The following is a 24,510-nucleotide window of genomic DNA, read 5'->3' as shown; positions in this document are numbered from 1 at the left end:
GGATAAAAGGCAAACTCTATTCTTTAGAGCGTCTTAATGTATCTTTGCATTTAGTAATTAAGATAACCAAAACAGCTCTATTGAAACAAACTGTTTTCCCATTTGATTGTAGCTGATTTTTGAGAAATTTGAAATATAGCAAGTCGTCACTTTGCCACTGCAGGCCATTTAAAATTTAAGTAAAACTGATACATATCCAGTGTCCTTTATCCTCTGCTCAAAGGTCTAACCTATCAGGTTGTCCTGTGGTCAATTCCTGTGCAGGAAACTTAACCAAACATATTGATGAATATTTGGAGAATTATCAACGTTCAGCTTAGCTCTTTTAAGACCACAACCTGAATAACATTAGGTCACAAAAAGGATACTAGCATAGAAAACAGCTATTATGGTCACATAAAGTATTAGAAGTCACAGTTCTTTGATTTGAAAGACAAAGAAACCTACCTAGTGCTTTTTCGGCAAACAGTTTAATCCTATTAGGCATTTCCAGGCTTGTACAAAGAAACTCTATACTTACTTAGAGTTGTCCTGTTTTAAAAAAAAATGTAGTAACACATTGGGGAATATTCTCTTGAGCTATCTTGTTTCTTCTAATCATTGTCCCCTCTTTACTGGAGAATTTCCTATTATTCAGCAACATATGGATGGAAGATTTCTTCAGTAATCATGTCTGAACAAAGCAATTATTCTGTCATTAACCAATTATTCTTCAGAGTCAAATGGAACAGACAGATTTGCTAAGACAATTTTACTTTAATAAACCCTATGGAATCAGACCTTACATAACTCATGTTCAAATGGTTTAATACAAAGATCACAGTGTAGGTAACAAAAATGGTTTCTTGGGTTTTTTTTGTCTTGTTTTAATGCATTGACAGCATGTGATCTCAGGAAACCCACTAGAGATGGAATGAGTGCTAGGTTTTTGGAAGGTGGGAAAGATGAAGGAATGAGGATGTCTGGTTCTGTGTAGGAATACTCAATCTATCCAGCTCCAAGGTGATTCTTTTTCTTTCTTTCTTTTATCATCAAAAGTCTGTGATTTATTACAGCTCTTCTACTTTCTAGAAGCTGCTGGATAAACAGCCTGACCAAAGAGGTGAGAGTGGGTGCTCTGCTCCAGAAATGCTTCCAAGAAGGATGCAACAGAGTGTTCAGGAAAGGTAAATTATCTCAGAATGTCAGTGACTTAGTTGGTTTGGACTGCTGTAACACAATCCTTATAAACAACTTAGACACAACAAAAACAAATCTTTCTCACTGTTCTAAAGGCTGGGAAGTCCAAGATCAAGGCACAATCCAATTAAGCATCAAGTGAGGGCCTACTTCCTGGTTCATAGATGCCCTCACATGGTGGAAGGGGCTGGGGAGCTTTCTGGAGCCGCTTTTCTAGAAACACTAATCCCATTCATGAAGGCTGTGGCCCCAGGACATAACTGCCTCCCAATGACCTCACCTTTTAGTACTATCTTCTTGGGGGTTAGGATTTCAACATGCACATTTTGGGGAGATACAAACATTCAGACCACTGCAGTCAATGACCTGTCAAGTTTGGAATGATCTTTCTAAGCACGGGGAATGTAAGAAAGCATTTTCAGGAGGGGATGGGAGTGAGAAAGTACAGTGCTGTTTTATTTAACTCCTTGGTATTCTGTATGATTTTTTTTTTAATTCCATGGCATTCTGATGTGGTTCACTTCAATAGAAGAGGCTTCCCCTAACTCCTGTTTGATTTGTCTTTGTGATTGATTTTATGGGAGTTGACTTGGAGATTCAGTTTTGCAGTTTCTGAACTTTTTGGCTTAAAAAATCAGAATGCATACCATCGGCATTCTGAGTTTTCTGTCATAATTCAAGGGGCACCAAATGTTTGCAGGCAAAGTCCTAATGTAGTAGAAATTACAACAGCAAAGGCTGAGAACAAAAATATTTTAGGCCTTGCTCCAGTTATCATAGTAATATTTGACTCATTACCAAACAAAACATTGAAAACTTAAGTACTAGTCTTTCTTCTGCAGCTAACTGAGTATAGAAATGTAAGCTTGAGATTTACTTCTTCTCTGACCTCAGTTTCCTTTCATATGAAACAGGTTCTTCTTCAAAATTCTATGATCCTTTGTGTTTGTCATAATGATACTTTGCACATTTTCTAAAATAGTAGTTAAGGACAGATTTGCCAACATCAAAAGCAACAGTAACAAAATGAGTCGTCTCTTTAATTTAAACTTCACCTACTCACAAGTAAGAAAGACACACAAAAACCACACAATAATATCAATATACAATACTTTGCATAATTACATAAATGATCTCATATCCTTAGGCTGTTTTTTCCATTATCAAAGGGGTGATGTTTTACTTCCAATAACTTTCTAAAAAAGTTTCTTGTCCACACCATTAAACACCGCAACCTAATCTCACATTTAAAGCATTAATGACTGTCACCACAGCTCTCTGCACTGGGTAGATTTGGGATGACAGCTGTCACTGCAGCAGGATACATTTTTTATAATAGTTTTATGATTCACCCTTTGAGATGAAGATTTGGACACCTGATACCAGCCTATGATTTTCTCCCTGTAATTTTCAGAATGGGTAAAACCAAATAACAGCCTCCCAGTCTCATAGGTCTTATGCCAAGTGTTTCAGAAATGACATCGGTGGGAATTGAAAACCATACTCATTTTTTTCATAGCATATGCTGAGCATTTTCATTTGCTAGTATTAGTTGATTGGTGGGGTGGGGTGGAGGCTGGCTTTCCATCAAAGTCATAGCAAAGCTATAGTTTTTCTCCCCATTTCACCTTCACATTATTATGGAGGTGTTTACCAATCTTGTGTCAGTTCAGTCTCAGCAATTTTCATGACAAATATATGGCCAAAAAGAAATCTGTTCATCAGTATCCTGAGGATGCTCCTTTAAAGACCAGAACATGCTAACAAAATTTGGCTTGTCCCTATGGACAAGTTAAATGCAAGTAAGAAGGGATATAAGTAAGGTGAATTTTTTTAAATTGGCTTAATATTGACAATTTATAAGCTGATTTCCTGGATTTAGAACAGCAAAGAGGAAGAGTTAGTTCCTCCCTTGACTTTTGGTATAGATGTAAACTTTGTTTTTGATCAAAGCTCATTAAATTTGGGTTCTGGAGCCTGGGCAACATGGCAAAACCCAGTTTCCCTACAAAAAACACACGCATACACACAGACACACACACACACACACACACAAATTAGTCAGGTGTGGTGGTGCCTGCCTGTAGTTCCAGCTACTGGGGGTGCTGAGGCGGGAGGATTGCTTGAGCCCATGAGTCGGAGGTTGTTTTGAGCTGAGATCGTGCCACTGTACTCCAACCTGGAGACAGAGTGAGACCCCGTCTCAAAAATAAATAAATAAATAAATAAAAATAAATTAGGGTTCTGAGAAATCTGTTTGTGCTCAATCCAGGTTCAAAGTTCCTTCGCTCTCCCAATGTGGCCCCTCATTCAAGACACAGGCTTCTCCTTCTCCTTTTAGACCAGTTCCCTGAAAACATCAGACTAATGACTAGTCCATCCTGGATGGTTGCATGAATGAGGAAATTTGCAAAAACAGGTACTATCATTCTTGCCCTGGCAGTAAAATCAAAAGGGGAATATTCAGTATTTTGCAGGGGGCTGAGATTCTGATCTTCATACAAACAGGGTAATACAAAAGAAAACAGGCTGCTGCTTTGTAAAGCAAGAGCTGTTTTATGTGAATGTTTAAAACCGCAGCCTGAATGATGTGTGTCAAGAAGTCGAGGGCAAAGAATGGATACAATGGTCAGTCACTACCAACATTTCCATAGCCTCACATGCAGTTAAATGAACTTCAGCTGGATGGAAGAGACACATTAACCTTCTCTGAGCAAAATAAAAATAAGAATGACACTATGCTCATGTGTACCTCAGGGGCTAACTCAGCCTCTCAAAGGCAAAATCCTCAGCCTCTTCCCACTCACGTGACATTCTGGGATTATATTTCCTGGCCACAAAGTAGAGTTTGAAATAATTCCAATGAAAGAAAGACATACGGGTGGGTGGGGTGGTGGTAGAAAATGTAGGCATGGGGGAGTCAGTGGCAGCCTGATTTCCTGGTATTTGGGAAGAGCGTGTGAGTATTTGTGAGATGCATTTTGAAAACTTAAGAATAAGTGGGAAATTAATGGTACAACATTGAGGAAGAATAGAAAGAGCAAAATTACTGATATTCAGTAGTAATAACAATAGATGTTACAATGTTCTGTGTGCAAGATCATGCAAATTAAAGGAAAGGGGATCTGAAATAGCAGGATCCTCCAAACTACCACTTTGTGGTTTAGTGTTCCTTAGTGAGAAAGATTAAGGAGCAGTAGCTAAAATGACCCCGAATTAGAATGGATCCTTAAAAAAAAATGTTAAAATATGGATTGTAATTGATAACATTATTTATACAAATACAATTAGAGATAGTGTAAAGTAATATTGATTTCTCCTTGAAAAAACCTAAGGGATTTGTGAAACTTAGAAATAATATAATTATCAATTTGTGATGTAAATTCATAAAGCATTGTAGCATTCTTTGTGTAGGGCTTCACACAAAGCATGCTAAATTTCAACTGGAATGTTACCAGTTTAGAAGGTTACCAAATTCTACTCTCTATGAAGGCAATGGAATATGGTAGAAGGAATAGGGGCTCTGAAACCGAAGTACCTGAGGTTCACATTCCATCTACTCTAGCTGTGGGACCTTGGGGATGTGATTTAAACTAACCTAAACTTCAGTCACATATTCTTCAAAAAGTAGAAATAAGAATGTAGGCATCACAAGGATGTTAGAAGGATTAAATTTCATAACATTTACAACTGGTGAATAGTCCCATCTGTGCTTGAAGAAGTATCAAGGTTAAGAGAGTTGACTTTTCTCCAATCAGTGTTTGTAACATTGCTCTTAGATCTCTGCTGTTAGTCTCTTAATGAAATTTCGGGTGGGTCTGTCAACTTTCAGATTACTTTGAGTCTCAAATCATTTTTGACTTAAAACATTAGTCTAAAAGGAAAGACTAAGTTCTCATTTCCCATTTGGAGTTCTGGCAGGATGTCTAGTGAGTTTGTGTGCCCCTATGCCTAATATGGAGAGGAGAGACGAGAACCGGAGAGCTGGGATGCTGGAATAGCCTGCACGCCACAGATCGACAAAGCAAGACATTTTCATGGACCCTACAGCTCACAGGGCTTAATTTTGTTTCTCAACCAAAATGCCAAGATCAAGCTGAGCTGAAATACTGACTGTTTGGAGAATGGTATGATCTCCCTCTGGAAGACCTCTCCTTCCCTATATTCCCTCTCCAAGGACAAGTTATTTCTATGTGTTGGGATGGGATGAAAAAAGAGAGAAAAGAACAAGTCTCTGTAATTAGTTGACTTTTTTTGGTGGTGGTCTCTGATTCCCACTGATAGACTATTGATGTCCTCTGTGCCAGACATTTAAGGAGGGTTCATGTGTAAGTTCTTCAGAGGAGCTATTGCACTTCAAGGTGCCTGACGTGGGAGATGAAACTCTGTTGGACATCTCCTATCCCTTCCCTCTTCCTACTACTGGCCCCATGTCCCAAAGCCTCTTAGGTGGGGTACTAAAATGATGGCTCATGCCTAGCATTTGGCAGAGGCACCTGACAGCAATAACTTAAGCATACCTTGAGAATGATCCTGTATGGCAGACACACCTGAATATGTGTTCAGAATTCCAAGCTAAAGAATATGGAAATGGCCAACTCAGAGATCCATTCCTTATCTATGAGGAACATCGAAACCTTCTGCCAGTCTTGTGGAACATGGGCCATACAGGGGATTGAGGTCCTTTGCTTCTGGTTAAATGAACGTTTTCAGTTGCGAGATTTAGGGAGAGGGTTCTAAGTGAAAATGCTATATAAACTGCATTCTTTTTGCAAGACTTTACAGTTCTCCTGTCCAGCCCGCTGTCACTGGACCATCCCTGTATGTAAGGTTCCTGCTTAAAAAATCCTTTGTCTCCTTTGCTGGCCCTGGGTCTCTTCTGCCTCTTGAACCTGGTGCCATTCCTACTGAAGTTAATAGGGGTCTGGCATGGCACCTATCTACCTTCAATGATGGGTCAACCCCAAGAGCTACAGTGTCCATAAAATAACTCCAAATGGGAAACAAGAAGTTAATCTCTTTTTCTTGCAGGTATTTCTTTTTGTAAAAATTTTCTTTTTTTTCTTTTCTTCTCCTTTTTTTTTTTTTTTTTTTTTTTTTTTTTTTTTTTTTTTTTTTTTTTTGGTGGATATGGGGCTCCTATGTTGCCCAGGCAAATCTTGAACTCCTGGCCTCAAGTGATCCACCTCAGCCTCCCAAAGTGTTAGGATTACAGGCGTGAGCCAGATATCTCAACTCTTTTCTTTTTTTTTTTTTTTTTGAGACGGAGTCTCGCTCTGTCGCCCAGGCTGGAGTGCAGTGGCGCGATCTCGGCTCACTGCAAGCTCCGCTTCCCGGGTTCACGCCATTCTCCTGCCTCAGCCTCCCGAGTAGCTGGGACTACAGGCGCCCGCCACCGCGCCCGGCTAATTTTTTGTATTTTTAGTAGAGACGGGGTTTCACCTTGTTAGCCAGGATGGTCTCGATCTCCTGACCTCATGATCCACCCGCCTCGGCCTCCCAAAGTGCTGGGATTACAGGCGTGAGTCACCGCGCCCGGCCGATATCTCAACTCTTGATAATAAAATATCTTGGAACATTCCCTCATGTGGCTGGAGCCGGGTGGGCGGGAGTTCACCTGCCATAAAGAAACGGCTCCCACAAGTCCATAACTCCACTGGGTCAGCAAAGGTCGCTGGTGGCTACCATGCTGGCAGCAAGAATGATTCTTTTACTTCCTAGTAAGTCTCAGAAAAGTGTTGTTATGTTGTAAATGACTTGCTTTCTTAGAGTGTCCATCTCTCTGCTTACAGTATCCATCTATTCTTTCATGTTTTCCACTTTTTCCATTTGAACCCATAGCAAATTAATCATTCAAAATTCCTGGTCTGATACTTCCAAAGATCTCTGCCATATCTCAGTCTGGTTCTTGTGCTTGTTTTGTCTCTTCAGACTGTGTTGTCTTCTTTTTACCACGACTTGTAATGTTTTTGTTAAAAGCCAACAGGACGTATTGGGTATAAGGAACTGGGGTTAAACAGGTCTTTAGTGTGAGGTTTCATGTTTGTCTGACTAGGATTTAGTCTCTGTTGGCTGTTTGCTGTTCCTGTAATGTCAGAGACTAAAATTTTTTCTAATGTCCTTATTTTGGTCTTTGGGTTTATTAGAGACTCCATCTGAAATAGACTCTGAGCTGGACAGTTCTTTTAATGAAACTCCTTGGCATTATACAGGAGCCTGTAGAAGGGTCAGAAGGTGGGAAGAGAGGGGAAGTGTTTTATAATCCTTTATTGGTTCTCAGTCTTTTACTTATTCTGAGTTGGATATGTCCCTTCCTCCATGTCGAAGGCTAGAAGGAGCTGGAGTTGGGCAGTTCCCTTCTTCAAATCATGGGTTAGAGTGGCCTAGAGTCAGGTATTTGGTATTGAGTACCAACATTGGGTAACTGCATGTTGGTTAAACTCTGGTGAAATAGATTTTCTTGAGGGAAGGCCTTTTTTAAGGAGAAGAGAACACTCTAGGTATATGTCAACTGGCTACCTTTCCCCTCTCCCTGTCAGTGGGGATCTTTTTCTATTCTTCACAGTAAAAACCTGGGTGGATTTCTTGAGGTGAAACTCATCCAGTTTTGGGGTCTTTGCTGAGCGTGTGACACCCCCCTCCACCCCCCAGCATTTTTATCTCTCAAGCTAGTCTGCACACCATTCCCAACAGTTAGTCAAATCTTCTGCAAGTGTTCCTACCAGTTTCTGGCCCTGGCATTGATTTCTCTGCCAGTAAGCTATGATCCACCTGTCTCTTCAACATTCAAGGTGGCAATTTGTCCTATGACTTCAGTTCGCCAGTGGATCTAAGGGGAGTCGCTTTTTATTTTGTTAGCCTTTTTGTCATACTGTAAGGATGGAAATAACATCCAAACTCTTTAATTATTGGTTCAGAAACCAAAAATCAAGTGCACGCTCCTAGCTCTGTAACCTAGTGCCAGCGTATCTTTATACATTCATATAAAATGTCTAGTATTTGGCATGGTGCACAATAAGAACATCATTGTGATAAAAGTTTGCTCCTTTTTATAAATCCTTTAATCCTGAAGTTGAAAATGTAGCAGGAATCATGGAAACAGTTTGAATGCAAAGAACAGTAAGAAATACAAATGTACCAGGAATCAAAACTGTGCTAAAAACAAAACAATACAACACAAAACAAAAACTACTTGTATAACCATTCTGAAAACATATGACTTCTGAGTTTTACTGAATAATAACTAAACATTTAGCTTCCTGGAACAAAAGTAAAGAGCTGACAGAAATGAACAAAAATACGCAGATATCACTGAGATGGTTGTATTTTATGGCAACCCTTTTGGATAACAGGACATATGCAGAGCCCTCGTCCATCACCATTGCTCCACGTATATGTAACATACTCAGGAGTCTGTCTAAGTCAAAGTGTAGCCTTAAGGAGAAGAAGTAGAGAGGCTCAAGTGTACCACCTATGTCTACTGTTAAAGAACAAAAGAGACCTCTCTCTCAGAGTTTGTGGCTGGAGGGTTAGAATTTCAAAAGAAATTCTAACTGTGATGTATCTAATCTGTGTCCTCCCTCATGAAAACCTTGATCCAACTGCTTGTGTTGTGAGAAGGAAGTTTATGTGAAATGTGATGTTGTTGGCCACCACTAAGGGTGACTCATTGTTTAACCTTCCAGGGAGTTTTGAAAAATGTGTCTTAGAATCAGCTTATGGCAGATGAGAGGTGAAGAATTTATCCATTGGCCCTTGTCTTCCGTCAGTCAAGGGTGGCCCCAGGAGCACCAACCTCCTGGCTCTCCCCAGCTCTGTGTTCTGCAAGCGTGAGCACTTCGTGGTCCCCCTTCCCTGAGGCATCAGGGAGGTAGGGCAGGGAACAGCGTGATTTGGGGATGAAGCTCCATCAAACCATACTTGTGTGAAGCTGGTCCTGGCAATGTGTGGGGGCTGAGATTTGACAGTGCAATACAAGATAATGTGACGCTTAATGGTAGTATGTAACTCCAGTTTGCAAGAATCAATTCCATTTCCTGGGGACCCAGCAATGTTTAGGAAATCTTGAAAATACAGTGGAGCTGGAAGCAGCTAGCTATCTTCCTTCTATTTTCTTGTGAACACAAAGTTGTTTGTTTCTAAATAATAATAAGACTATTTCATAATCATCTCAAACACCTGGATCAACTTTCCCTGATGCCATTTTACTGACTCCCTATGATGAAGCTGTGAAATTGTATTTGAACATGGAACAGACTGGAATAATGTTTTATTTTTTCCTTATTTCTTTTGATTTGTAAAACATTGCTCTTTTTCTATCATTCTGGATCATGCTTCATGGTATAATTATTGACCCTCTGGGTTTGTCTTCATTTATATAGCACCATGTATAAAAAGCCTTTCTCAATTCAAGAGAAATTGAGAAAGAAATTGTGTCCATAAATTCCCTTTGTAATTTTGTTTCATGATTTCCTTTAAATATTCAATCAAGCCATCAGATGTGTTAGACTAAATCTTGTACATGTGTGTGTCTCATGGTGACTCACTTGAATTAACTTGTAAGTTTGTAGATGTCTTGTCGTTTTGTTCCTGATTACTCGAATCCCTCTCCAACTCCAGAGGTTTGTGGTCTTTTGTTGCCATAGATAGAAATGGTGGGCTGCCAGCAGCTTCAGATCTTTCCTTGCATATGACTTTGTAAGAAGTTTTTTTCAAGGAATGAATTTTTCAAAGAACACAGTAGCATTTCATGACCTGAATTCTCTGCCATACACAGTAATAGAACTTGATATGAGTCTATTGAAAAGTTAGTTGCTCCTTTTCCCAACTAATTATATGAACTATTAGGTAAATATGAACTCCAAAGAAATCCCCAAATTTATAATATTCGTTGTTATAAGTAAACGTTTTCTTCCCTATAATCTTGCTATCATGAGCTAATGAATGTTTAACTTTTTAAAAATTTCAAGCTATTAGTCAAAATGTAAAAGTCTAACAATGTGTATTAAATACATGCTATGTGGGTGTGAAGAAATTCTAAGAAACTTTCCTGTAACTAAGTATTTTAGAATCTAAAGAAATGTTTTGGTTCTCAGAAAAAAACCTTTATGAAGCAACCCACCGAAGGCCTTAAGTTCCTCCAGGCAGGAGGCCACGCCACATCTCTCTTATTGTGACAGTAAAATGGGATTAAGGCAATCCAAAGAAGCTATGGCCTGCAGACTCAAGAGTCTAACATTTTTATCAGGTGCAGCAAAAGATGCATTTTCCAGTCAATAATCCAATAATGTCCTTGCCCTTGAGTCTTGACACACCCATCATCTTGGTATGAATATGGGGGCTGTAGATGGACAGAGGGGACTGAAGATTGCTTTCCATGAGCTTTCCTTAAGGACTAACATATGATGCTGAACAGAATAAAGACCTACAATTCAATTCTATTTACTTTGAAATCATGCCTATATATTGAAACGCTAATACTCTATCACACCTATATAACCATGCAGATAACAAGGGCTCTGTATGTTCACATTATAAATTCATCATATATTTGCAGACACTGTAACAGATGGCTTTTAGCTCCTGACTGAAGATAATACATAGCTGCCATGCATGTTCAGTGTATTAGACCATTCTTTTAAGAAAACTTGTGGGTACATAGTGCATATCTTCATGGCTTACATGAGATGCTTTGATACAGGCATGCAATGTGAAATATGTATTAGACCGTTCTTGCATTGCTATAAAGAAATACCTGAGAATGGGCAATTTATAAGAAAAGAGATTTAATGGCTCATAGTTCTGCAGGCTGTACAGGAAGCATGGCAACAGCATCTGCTTCTGTTGATAGAAACTTTAATAATGTCTTTTGTTATTTTCTCACTGAAATGCTTTAGATAGCTTATTTTGGGAACAAATTTTACCCAAAAAATAATTGCATCTACTTCTGGAGAGGCCTCAGGAAGCTTTTATTCATGGTGGAAGGTGAAGCAGGAGCAGGCATGTCACATGGTGAAAGCAGGAGCAAGTGAGAGAGAAAGAGAGAGTGGGGGTGAGGGGCACACATGTTTAAACCACCAGATCTCATATGAACTCAGAGCAAGAGCTCACTTATCACCAAGGGGATGGCCCAAGCCATTCATGAAGGATTTGCCCCTATGATCCAAACACCTCTCACCAGAACCCCCCTCCACCAATGGGGATTACCATTCAACATGAGATTTGGGAGGGGACAAATATCCAAACTATATCACTTAGGTTCTGCCTAGACAGGGCCATTCGTTTTTTCTGTAATTTGTTAAGCATAGTTTTTTAAAATGTTAAGCTGGGAACTATGGTGGGTGCAGAGATGACCTAGGCACACAGTCTGTCATCAATTAACTTCTAGTCTAATTGAATAATGCAAAAATATACTTAAATTTTAAGATACAAGTATGGGAGAAGGGGAATATGACTGATGGATGGAGAAGTCAGCCAATAGGCAGGCTTTCCTCCCAGAGAGAGTACAAAGGATGAACCACCAGGCTCCAGAGAAAATGAGAGGGGAAGGCACACGCAGGTGGTGGTAGTCAAGGGGTTGCATGGGGAGGAAGCCTTTCTGGTACAGTGGAGAGTGGGGGCATTTTGTCACTAGGGCATTGTTTCAGAAATGGGGTTTTCGTGGGGTCTGCCATTTAAAATTCACATTAAAGTATGTAAATGCTCAGTCAGGTACTGAGGCCGAAAACAAATCAGGCAAATAACTCTCTTGGAAGCCTCAGAGGATAATCTTTACAACCAATTATTTTTCGGATAAAATGTGTTCCCAAAATAAGCCATCCAGAGCATTTCAGTGAGAAAAGAACAAAAGACACTATTAAAGTTATTTAAACTGTTCAAATGTCACAATACGTTGTGGTCAAGAAGAGGAGCTTCTAGTCAGTTGAATTCATGTACGTTTTTATTTCCAAATAGAGATTTGATTTCTCTGCATATGTATGTAAGTATATAGATATAGATATAGGTGTATTGGTATATGTTTTATATGTATGTATATATAGAGAGAAATTAATATGTGTATGTATTTGCACATATACACACACACGTATGTGTGTATATATATAACCCATGTACAGAAGGATGCATATGTGTATTATATATATATGTGTTTTGAGAAAAAAATTCCCTCTCATGTACCATATATGTGTATAAATGTGTGTGTGCGTACCAAATTATCTATTACCAAATCCACCCAAAGCCTGCTGTCTTCTCTCTTTCCTGGCAGTGGTTTCCTGCTTATGATCAGCTATTACATTACTTGACCATCTTTCCTAAACTTACTTTGAGTCCCTGAACTTATGAAAATTTGGGGATATTAGTAATTTTCAAAGCCATTGACATGAGAATGTGATTGTAATATAAAATACTTGCATCCTATTTCCATAGATTTATCACTTTATTTAAATAAATAAGAATTTTTTTGTCATTTGGAAATGTTTCCTAGAAGGTCAGCTAAACACACACACACACACACACATTTATACACTTACATATAGGAGGGAATTTTTTTCTTAAAACAGGACACTTTCAACTCAAGCAGTTTAAACAGAATATAAACAAGATATACTGTAAATGTTAGGATATAGAGAATTTCGTTATCTTTTTAGGCTTAGATTTATTCTATGATGTTTTCTCTGATACCCAAGTTTAACATTTACTAATGTCTTTTGAGTAAAAGGAAAAAAGAATGAGAAACTTATTTACTGTCATATACCCTAATTCCTTGATCACTCATTTCAGCCACCACATCATTTCACCAAGCACTGGCTGAATCTGTCTCATGCCTCCACGCACTCACTCCCTTATTTTTTTTGTGAAAAATAAATGAAAGGATGCATTTAATTCTTTAGATTCCACTATTTGGTCAATAAATTACCTGTCTCTGTCTTTCAACATTTACTGTCTCTTATGCTGACCTCTTTACCCTTAGTGCTTTGAAAAATGTTCTGATATTTATCTAAACTTCCCTGCAATCTTCCTTTCATTTTTCATCTTTGCTTTTCTTATATATTTTTTACACTTGAATTCATTCTATAATCTCCTCTGTTACATCTGGATGTAGTGTTTTATATTCCACATATTTCTCTCTCATACCTTGATTGCTTTCTGCACCTCCTGATTTATCCACATTGACTTTTGTTCACTCCGGCTGTACTTATTGGTATGTGACATTCCTAACCCTTGGGCATACATTAATTTGTCATTAAATATTTTCCATTTCCCCTTGCTGGCCTTTGTAGAATTCCATTACTTTATCCCCCTGGATTGTTCCCACCTCTTATCACACTTTTGCAAAGAATGCACTCTCCCCAAATCTAGCATTTTTATTATTCAGTATTTGGATCCAAACCAGGATCATTTTTATGGTTGGAGTGACTATTTTGCAGTGAGCTGTCTCTGTGGAGGGCACTAAACTTGGCATGGAGTGCCCTTTTTTTTAGTGAATTCTCTTCAGACAGAAATTTAGATTATGCCATTTAAACAAATTTAGTTTCACCTGCCAATAGAGGAAATGTGTTGAGCAGATTCATCACCCTTATGTAATAGAACACGCTTTCAGTTTGACCTATGTGCATAAACAGCAGGCCTATTACCAAATCCACCCGAAGCCTGCTGCCTTCTCTCTTTCCTGGCAGTGGCTTCCTGCTCATCATCAGCTATTGCATTACTTGACCATCTTCCCTAAATTTACTTTGAGTCCCTGAACTTATGTACATTTGGGGACTATTAGTAATTTTCTTTATATATATATATATATATATATATATTTTTATTATACTTTAAGTTCCAGGGTACATGGGCACAACGTGCAGGTTTGTTACATATGCATACATGTGCCATGTTGGTGTGCTGCACCCATTAACTCTTCATTTAACATTAGGTATATCTCTTAATGCTATCCCTCCCCCCTCCCCCCACCCGACAGCAGGTCCCAGTGTGTGATGTTCCCCTTCCTGTGTCCAAGTGTACTCATTGTTCAACTCCCACCTATGAGTGAGAACATGCGGTGTTTGTTTTTATGTCCTTGCGATAGTTTGCTGAGAATGATGGTTTCTAGCTTCATCCATGTCCCTACAAAGGACATGAACTCATCATTTTTTATGTCTGCATAGTATTCCATGGTGTATATGTGCCACATTTTCTTAATCCAGTCTATCATTGTTGGACATTTGGGTTGGTTCCAAGTCTTTGCTATTGTGAATAGTGCCGCAATAAACAGATGTGTGCATGTGTCTTTATAGCAGCATGATTTATATTCCTTTGGGTATATACCCAGTAATGGGATGGCTGGGTCAAATGGTATTTCTAGTTCTAGTTCCCTGAGGAATCTCCACACTGTCTTCCACAAGGGTTGAACTAGTTTACAGTTCCACCAACGGTGTAAAAGTGTTCCTATTTCTCCACATCCTCTCCAGCACCTGTTGTTTCCTGACATTTTAATGATCGCCATTCTAACTGGTGTGAGATGATATCTCTTTGTGGTTTTGATTTGCATTTCTCTGATGGCCAGTGATGATGAGCATTTTTTCATGTGTCTTTTGGCTGCATAAATCTCTTCTTTTGAGAAATGTCTGTTCATATCCTTTGCCCACTTTTTGAAGGGGTTGTTTGTTTTTTTTCTTGTAAATTTGTTTGAGCTCTTTGTAGCGTATTAGCCCTTTGTCAGATGAGTAGATTAGTAATTTTCAAAGCCATGGACACAAGAATGTGATTATAATACAAAATACTTGCATCCTATTTCCATAGCTTTGTCACTTTATTTAAATAAATAAGAATTGGCTCATCATTTGGGAATGTTTCCTAGAAAGTCAGCTTAACTATTTACTGGCATATCTTCTTTCTTTCCCCTTACTCCTTTCCACTGTTCCTGTTACAATAAACTTCCTTTTATTCTTCACAAAGAAAACTCATAAAATTCGGTTTTTGTCAAGGAGTCTTCCACAAAAAGTGCTGTTAACTTTTTTTTCAGTTTTAACTCCAGATGCAAACCCACTTTCTAACATGAGATAGCTCTATAGTTATGTGTGTGCAATCACACACACAATCCTTTTTCTTTTTACTACGTTCATTGGCAATTGACAATGGTTATTCACAGTTGATAACTTGAATATGTTTTAGATCGAAAAGTAAGAAAATCAGCTGACTGCTTAATGTTGTTGTTTTTTTTTTCTTTTTGGTGTCTGGAAAGTGTCTTTGTGACTGAGAAGGCCAGAGATGTAGTGAGAAAGAACAGTGCCATATTTGGAATCTGCTAGTCTGCTTCAAATCTGAGTTTGACCAGCAATGATGAGTCCATGGGCATTTATCCCTCCTCTCAGAGTCATATGTAGTTACAATTATCTGTAATGAGCATCTCCTATGAAGGCTAGAGATTGCATATGCAAGCCACTGGCCATGTGAGAATTGGCTAAGAAGTGATAAGTGCATATTGAGAATATTGACAAAATATTTATTATTAAGTATTGAAATATATATTATAATTGATTGTGATAAAAACTATTTGTGTAGGCTGTGGAAGTATTTCACAAATCCTTCAAATAAATTATCTCATATGATTTAACAAAATTCCTGTGAAGTGAGCAGGCAAGTATTATAATTATGATTTTACATTATTGAAAGGCACCTGTGTCTAGATATGACCTTGGATTTAACATTTTAGAGTTTCAAATAAATCTGGGACTAGAGTGAATGAAGAGTATAATCATAACAGTGTAAAGTTGAGTTAATTGTAATGACTTTGAATATATTTACTTTGAAATGCTCAGTATTCACGTTTAATGATTTCGAGTGTATGATCGTATGGAGAAGTCTGTGGAGTACAACGTGCAGCACTTTGTTAATTTTCACATGATATGGAGAGAGCGTGGATATAGCCATGCCAGAGGGAATATGGCTTTTCTTCAGGCTATAGTCATGATCTTGCTCAAGACTAGGACTCCTTGCTCCTGGGCCAGTGGTTTTCAAACTTCAACATGCATCAGATTCACCAGGAGGCTTCTTAAAACACAAACTGCTAGGCCCACTCTGAGAGTTTCTGACTGAGTGGGTCTGAAGTCAGGCTGAGTATTTGCATTTTTTGTGAGTTCCCAGGTGGTGCTGATGTTGCTACTCATGCTGTTCCTAGGACCATCTTTATAATCACTGGACTAGAATGTTCCCATCATTTCTTTTCATCAATAAAAAGGCAATTCTGTTAGAAAGATACTGAAGGTTGAAGACTAGTTATTATTTCTTAAACATTTTATTTTAAAATAATTATGGATTCATGGGAAGTTGCAAAGATTGCACAGAGAGTTCCTGTGTCTTCTTCACCCAGTTTGCTGTCATGGTTAGAACTTAGATAATTATAGCACAACTATGAAAATCAAGAAGTTCACATTGCAGTAAAGCATGTGTTTGCTTCTATGTCATTTTAATCACATGTGTAGTCACCATCCTGATCAAGACAGATAAATATTCCTTCATCTCAAAGATCTTTCTCCTGTTCCCTTTTTATAGTTGCACTGACCCCTTTCCACCTCCTCCACCATTCCAAACCAAAGGCAAACACTAATCTGTTTTTCAACTTTGTAGTTTTGTCATCTGAAAATGTTACATCAATGGAATTATCAGCAAAAGGGAGTTCAACTATTTGTTGGGTGTATCAGTAATTCACTCCTTTTCATTATTGAGTGGTATTGCCTGGTGTGGGTGTCCCAGTTAATCATTGATCACCCATTTAGAGACATTTGGTTTTGCCCACTTTTCGGCTATTATGAACAAAGTTGTTATGAGCAATGATGTACAGGATTTTTGCGTAAATATATTTTCATTTCTCTGGGACAGATGCCCAAGGGTACAAAAACCAGATTGCATGGTAAACATATATTTACTTTTTAAAGCAAGTTCCAAACTAATTTCCCAAGGGGTCACTGGAAATTTCCATCAGTAGTGCTGGAGAGATTTAGTTTCTCAGCATCTTGTCTAGCATTTGGTGTTGTCACTACTTTTATGTTAGCTATTCTGAGAGATGTGTAGTGATATCTAATTGTGGTCTTAATTTGCCTATCTCTTATAGCTAGTGATTTACACATCTTTTCATGTGCATATTTGTCATTCATAGCTCCACTTTCATGAAACATTTCTTCATGTCTTTTGCCCATTTTCTTACTGGCTGTTTCTTAGCCACTGAGTTTTGAGAGTTCTTTATATATTTTAGATATGAGTTCTCTGTCAGAAATGTGGTTTGCAAATATTTTCTCCAAGATTGCAGCTCTTCTTCTATTTCTCTTAACAGGGTCTTCCAAAGAGCAAATGGTTTTAATTTTGATGAAGTTCTAATTTATCAATTGTTCTTTTGTGCTTTTGGTGGCATATCCAAGAACTCTTTACCAAAAATTAGAACCTGAACATTTTACCTATTGTTTTTTCCTAAACATTTTTTGCTTTTATTACTATTTTTAATTGGCATATACTAATTTTACATATTTGTGGGGCATGGTGTGATATTTTCATACATGTATACAATGTATAATGATCACATCAGAGTAATTAACATATCCATCACCTCACACATTTCTCATTTCTTTGTGCTGGGACATTCAAAATATTCTGTTTGAAAATATACAATAAATTATTGTTAATTATAGTCACCCTGTAGTACTATAGAACATTAGAGCTTACTCTTTCGATCTAGCTATACTTTTCCATCTATTAACCAACTTCACACTATCTCTTCCATCCCCTTATTTAGTTTCATGTTTTACATTTAAGTATATGATCCATATTGAGTTAGCTTTGGATAAAGTGTGAGTTTTAGATTTAAAATCTTGTTTCCTTTTTCTTTTTTGCTTATGTGTATCTAATTGCTCTAGCATTATTTGTTGATAAACTATTTTTTTGCATTGAATTGCTTTTGTATCTTAGACCAATACAATATGATAAATATGATTTATAATAGTACAATATTATTTTTTGACAATTTCTGGATTTTCTATTCTGTTACATAGATCTACCTGTAGATTGCCAATACAACACGATCTTGATGACTATAATTATATAGTAAGTCTTGACAACAAGTACAATAATGCCTTTATTTTATATTTATTATTTAAAGTTGCTTTAGCCATTCTAATTATTTTGTATTTCCATGAGAGTTTAGATCTTTTCTATATCTATAAAAATATCTTCCTGGGATTTTGATCAGAATTGCATAAGCCTGTGCATCAATTTGAGAAGAATTGACAACTTTACCATGCTGTCTTCCAATCCATGAACACATTAAGTTTTTCCATTTATTTACTTGTCTTTGATCCCTTTAATTAGTGTTTTTTCACTTTTTAACATTCACCTCCTATACATTAGATTTACACCTGCATATTTCAATTTTTTGGTTAATTGTAAATGGTATTGTAATTTTAATTTGTTTCCATGTTTTCACTGCTAGTATAAAAATGCGACTGATTCGGTGTCTTGATCTTTTATCCTGCAACTATGCTGAATTCAATTATTCATTCTAGGTTTTTTTTTACTTCTTTAGATTTTCTATGGAAACCTTCATGTCATCTGTAAATAGAAATAGTTTTCTTTCTTCTTTTCTCATCTATATGCCATTTTTTCTTTTGCCTTATCATGCCAGCTAAAATTTCTGGCACTATATTGAATAAGTTGGTAAGAAAGAACATCCTAACTTTGTTCCTGATATTAGAGAGAAAGTGTTTAATTTTTTACCATTAGGTATGTGGTTAGCGATAATATTTTGGTATATTTTTTCAATCAAGTTGAAAAAGTCCCCTTTAGTTCTAGTTTTCTGAGTTTTTTTTATCATGACCAGATATTGAATTTCATCAAACGTTTTCTTTTGCATCAAATATTATTATTTATCTTCTTTAGCTTGTTAATATGGATTAATTAACTTTTGACTGTTGTTCCAGCCTTGTATCTGTGGAAGAAATCTCTCTCAATCATATTGTATAATTATTTTTATATATTGCTGAGTTCTATATGCTAATATGTTGTTGAGAATTTCTGCCCCTATATTTATGAGGGTTTTGTAATTTTCTTTTGTGGTATTGTCTGTATGATTCTTATATAAGAGTATTACTGGCTTCACATAACGTATTAGAAAGTGTCTCTTCTTATTCCATTTACTGGAAGAGATTGTGTAGAATTGATGCTGATTCTTACTTAAATGTTTCACAGAATTCTCCAATGAAAACATTTTGATCTGAAGATTTTGCCAGGCGGGGGAAGGTGGGGAATTTAATTATGAATTAAAATTTCAAGCAGTTATAAAGCTATTAAAGTTGTATATTTTTTATTGGGTGAGTTTGCATCATTTTTGATTTTCAGGAAATTGATCAATTTCATCTAAGCTGTCAAATTTATGTTTGTAGAGTTATTTCTAATATTTTCATATTATCCTTTGGAAATCTGCAGTCTGTAATAATATCCAATGTTTCATTCCTAATATTAGTAATCTGTGGCTTCTCTCTTTTTTTTCTTTGTCAGGCTAGCTAAAGATTAGTCAGCTTTGTTGATTTTTGTTAAAATAAGACATTTTTTCATTGTCTTTTCTCTTTTTTTGTTTTCAATTTCATTTATTTCTATTGTTATATCTTTTCTTCTGCTAGGTTTATGTTTTTCTGTTCTATTTTCTTGAAGTGGGAGCTTAGATTACCGATATAAGACTTTTCCTCTTTTTTTTTTTTTTTTGGAGACAGTCTCGCTCTGTTGCCTAGGCTGGAGTGCAGTGGTGCCATATCAGTTCACCGTAAGCTCTTCCTCCTGGGTTCAAGCCATTCTCTTGCCTCATCCTCCCGAGTAGCTGGAACTGCAGGCATGTGCCACCATGCCTGGCTAAATTTTGCATTTTTAGTAGAGACAGGGTTTTGCCATGTTGGACAGGCTGGTCTTGAACTCCTGACCTCAGGTGATCCGCCTGCCTCTGACTCCCAAAATGCTGGGATTACAGGCTGAGCCACCATGCCCGGCTTTTCTTCTTTTCTAATATGAATGTTTAGTACTGTAAATTTCCTTTTTTAATACTGCTTGAGCTGTCATCTACAAATTTTAATATGTTGTATTTTCATTTTCTTGCATTCAATGTGCTTTTAGCTTTTCCTTTAAATTTTTTCTTCCACTCATGAATATTTAGCAGTGTGTTTTTTGAGTTCCAATTGCTTGGTACTTTTTCTTTTTTGTTTTTTTTTGTTATTGATTTCTAGTTTGATTCCATTATAGTCAAAAACCAAACTGTTTATGATTTCAATTTCTTTGAATTTGTTGAAGTTTGTTTTATGGCCCAGGATGTGGTCTTCATTGGGATGTATTCTGTGGGCACTGGATACAAGTATGATCCTGTTGATGGATCGTGATTTTGAGTACTATATTTTTGCTGATTATCTGGACAGTTGTCTTTTACTTGTTGTGAGAAGTTTGTTGAAATGCCCAAGTACAATTGTGGAAATGAGCTTCTTGTAGACAGTATATAATTGGGTTGTTTATTTAAATCCATGCTACCGATTTTTGTATTTTAATTGGTGCATTTAGATCATTTACATTTAATATAATTAGGGATTAGAGTGTAAACTGGTCATTATATATTTTTTGTTCTGTTTCTTCTCTGTTTTTGTTTTAATCCCCTAGCTTTCTTTTTTGTTTCTTCCTATAGGTTGAGCATTTTTGGAATTTCATTTTGATTTATATATAGTATAAATTTTAAAGTATATTTCTATATATCTCTTTTAGTGATTGCTATTAATATTATATTTTTATCCCAATCTACTAGTGTCAATTTTTTTATCACTTTAAGTGAAGTGTAAAAATCTTACCTCTTTTTATGTCCCTTTATTCTCCTCCCATTTAATTTTAAAAGTTTCAGTATGGTGTGTCTTGGACATGGAATTATTTGGGTTTAACTTCTTTGGGGTTTACTCTGCTTTTTGAATCTGTAAGCTTATTAATTTTGGCAAATTTTGGAAATTTTCAGTCATACTTCAAAAACCGTTTCAGCTCTACACTCTCTGCTCCTCATTTTTGGACTCCATTGACATTAATGTTAGAAGTTTTTTTATAGTCTCATAAGTCCCTGATTGCTCTCAATTCTCTTATTGAGCCTATCCATTGAGGATTTGTTGTTAATTATATTTTTCAGTTCTAACATTTTGATTCTTCTTTATATCTTTTATTTATTTGCTTAGACTTTCTGTTTCATTTCCGAGACTTTCTATTTTTATTTAAGTGTGTTTGTAATTACTCATTTCATTTTTGTAATGGCTTTTTAAAGCTCTTATCAGAACATTTTAACACCTGTGTCATCTTGATGTTGGCATCTGTCAATTTTCTTTTCTTATTGAAAGTTGGGATCTTCCTGGTCTTTGATATGAGGATTGTTTTTTGATGAAACCTATTCATGTTAGGTATTACATTGAGAGACTCTGAACCATATTTAAATCTCATGTTTCAGCAACTCTTTTGTTACACTGCTCAATGTCAGGGAATGAAGGGCCAGAGAAAAGCCACAGCCTCTTTACTGAAAGGTTGGGTTGGAAGTTCAGAGGAAGCCCAGGTTATGTAGTAACTCTTTGTTGATTTGTGGTGAGGGGCATCTCATTAGTGTTGATGGCAGTGGCCTCAACTAAAACAATGGCAGTGTGTTTCTAAGGGGTGTGGGGTGGCTCATTACCACTTTACTGCTTTAGACATCCTGACTCTTCACCAGGCCTCCTACCACATTTCAGTAGTATGTAGATAAAAGTCTAGACTGTCCATGTGGTTTCTATTGACATAGGGTGGTGTGTGAGGGGAGTGTTGGAAGATTTGTTACTACATTGGAAGAATGAAAGTCTCAGCTCCCTACTCAGCATTCTCAGATGCCACCCAAACAGTGTGATTGGGTCACCTTATTACAACCTCTCAAGGTAGAAGTTGAGATACTCCACCAGGCTTGCAGAGCAGTTATTGTCTAATAAAAGTTTTCTTTTGTCTTGCTAGGCTGCCCCTCTCTGTGTCCTTTTGTTAGAGTGATCAAGCTTTACTTGGTGCCCTTTTTGTCTGTATTCTTAGGCATTTCCTGGCTGCTGGTTTCTCTAATATGTATTTAGAGATATACAAAGCAAAATGAAAGCCCAAGTAACTCTCCACTTTGTCAATTCTTGGATAGCAGAGTCCCTAGCCATTCTTCCTTCCTCTCTCCACCTTTTGATACTCAAGGTTTATAGTCACACTTAGTGGGAGGAATAGTGAAAGCTACATGTACTCTAACTTTCTGCAAGAGTAATTATTTTTAAAGATTTCTGTTAGACTTAATTTACAGTTCCGCAGCAATTATGTATTTCTTACAATGTCAAGTATTTCATTGCTTTTTTATTTAATGGGACAATGGAGGTTGGCCAATATAACAATATATGACATTTTTGGAATTTCTCACCTTGGCTCCCTTGAAAATATTTGGATACAGGTATCACCTAAACATATCTTTATTTTCACTCATTTTGAATATTACAGTGCACAAATGCTTAATCTTATCATTGCTTTAGTTTCATTTTCTATGTCCTAGAAACACTCAGTTTTTAAATGCCAAATAGTACATATGTCCACATCCTTTTATATTTCTTTTATTTGCTTATATTCCTTAATGCTTTCCTTTATAACTTCTACCCTCTGGGTATATTTTCTCTTGTCAGATTTTATTTTTGATTTTAGTCCTTTGAGTTGTCTCAAAAGGTGGGAAAGATGTGATGTCTATTTCCCCAACTAATATTATTTCTTCCCTGACCACCCATCTGTTTATTTAGTAGAGGCTTTTGTATAGACTTGTGACATATGCCTTCTAAAGATGTGCATGAATAACAAGTACCAAATAGGAATAAAATGAGATGGAGACGATGGTCTTAGAGTTTAATAATAGTAATTAATCATTTTTTTCTGTCTGAGCCTTATCTCAACTAACAAGAGATGTGTAATCTCCTCCTCTTTCTCCAAATTCTCTTTTTCTTTTCTCCATTTTGCCAAGGTCTTTCTCCAGAATTCAGACAACTCTGAAAACCCAAGTCTGTTGCTAGAAGATATCTTACTCTAAGAACACAGTGAGTAGCTTTCACATAAACCACCCCGATGGTATTGCTTACATATTTTAACCCTTTAATTTTTAATTCTAAAAAAGGTTTTTCCCCCTGAATGAACTAATGGTTAAAAACTTTGATATCTGGCCATCTCTTCCTGGCACTTTTGCTCTCTCTCTCTCTCTCTCTCTCGCTCGCTTGCTCGCCTGTTTTCCTTGTAAGGCTGACCTTAACATAACTTTTTGTCTTCATCTCCTAGCTCATTACCCTACAAATTAGATCACTAGTAAATGCTCCTTAATGATGATATTTGTTTGTGCTTAGGGAGAGCACAAAATGAAACTCTGATACAGTTTGTGACAGGCATATAATAACTTACTTGAATTGTCTTTTGTTAATTTCATTAAAGTAGGGGATAAGGATAGCAACAGTGATATTTAGAATCAACTGGAAGGAAACTATGTGATTTGCCAGTGCTAACAGAATGATAAACTTATTTTAAAATTTTGGTATCTTTTCTCCTGATTTATGAAGTGTTCTAACATGGCATGGGATTGCCAGCAAAACTAACCTATTGCAAAAGGAAATAAAATAATCTTCAAACAAGAGGAAAAACGAGGAAAAATATCCCTCATGTTTTCATTTAATTTAGCAGTATTTACCATTGATTTACCAGATGACTTTCCTCCATGATCAATATAATTGGGAATTGAAAAGTTTTTCTTAGTTTCTGGATCAAAACGTATGGGGACAAATGAGAAATCAGGGCTTGTCACCCCTTCTGTTGAGAGCCATGTTGGTAGGTTTTTTCCAGCTGTAATTGTTGAAGCATTATGTATGTCTATTCTCAGCTTTATTTCAGACAGTGGGAGGTGAAAGACAGATGATGGATAGTAGACTGAGATGAAAAAAAAAAAAAAAACCCAGACTGGCAGAAAGAAGTTCCTCAGAAAAGAAAGAACAAGGAATATGGTTAATGTTTGGTGGCTGTTGCAACAGAGGTATGTATATTTGCTTAGAGTATGGCAAGGCGAATAGGCAGAGAATTTTGTGGGAATATCATTAAAATATCTGAGTAAAAATAGGATTAGTAGCAACAAATGTATGCTTATGAAGGGTAAATAGTGATTAGATAACTTTTGTTAGGGTTTTCAGTGTGCAGAAAACTGGTCACAATTCTCAACTCTTCATGAACTGAAACAAACAGTAAGACACCTACTCTGTAAAACTCCTCAGCCTGATACTCGTT

At 36.8% G+C, this 24,510-nt stretch overlaps 2 long non-coding RNA genes across 3 annotated transcripts in view, besides 2 other annotated features; both read left to right on the top strand.

Moving 5' to 3' along the window:
- Nucleotides 1-24,510, top strand: part of LOC105373523 (uncharacterized) — a 43,330-nt gene that overhangs the window by 8,934 nt on the left and 9,886 nt on the right. For both annotated transcript variants that reach the window (XR_923128.1, XR_923127.1), the window contains exons 4-5: nucleotides 23,213-23,285; nucleotides 24,113-24,262. This is a non-coding gene — a long non-coding RNA (uncharacterized LOC105373523). The remainder of the gene's footprint in view (nucleotides 1-23,212; nucleotides 23,286-24,112; nucleotides 24,263-24,510) is intronic.
- LOC105373522 (uncharacterized) lies at nucleotides 1,085-5,285 on the top strand. Its single transcript, XR_923126.1, has 3 exons — nucleotides 1,085-1,166; nucleotides 3,452-3,598; nucleotides 5,092-5,285. It is a non-coding gene; the product is annotated as an uncharacterized LOC105373522 (long non-coding RNA).
- Nucleotides 21,476-22,012: an enhancer, noted in NCBI's record as "OCT4-NANOG hESC enhancer chr2:104743848-104744384 (GRCh37/hg19 assembly coordinates)". NCBI's record gives its function as "activates a minimal SCP1, AML or CMV promoter by ChIP-STARR-seq in primed H9 embryonic stem cells {active_cell/tissue: H9 hESC(primed)}" and the evidence as "EXISTENCE:reporter gene assay evidence [ECO:0000049][PMID:30033119]".
- Nucleotides 22,013-22,550: an enhancer, noted in NCBI's record as "OCT4-NANOG hESC enhancer chr2:104743310-104743847 (GRCh37/hg19 assembly coordinates)". NCBI's record gives its function as "activates a minimal SCP1, AML or CMV promoter by ChIP-STARR-seq in naive H9 embryonic stem cells {active_cell/tissue: H9 hESC(naive)}" and the evidence as "EXISTENCE:reporter gene assay evidence [ECO:0000049][PMID:30033119]".

This window comes from Homo sapiens, chromosome 2 (genome assembly GCF_000001405.40).
Source record: "Homo sapiens chromosome 2, GRCh38.p14 Primary Assembly".
Lineage (NCBI taxonomy): Eukaryota > Metazoa > Chordata > Mammalia > Primates > Hominidae > Homo > Homo sapiens.
This window is presented reverse-complemented; position numbering and strand designations above follow the sequence as displayed.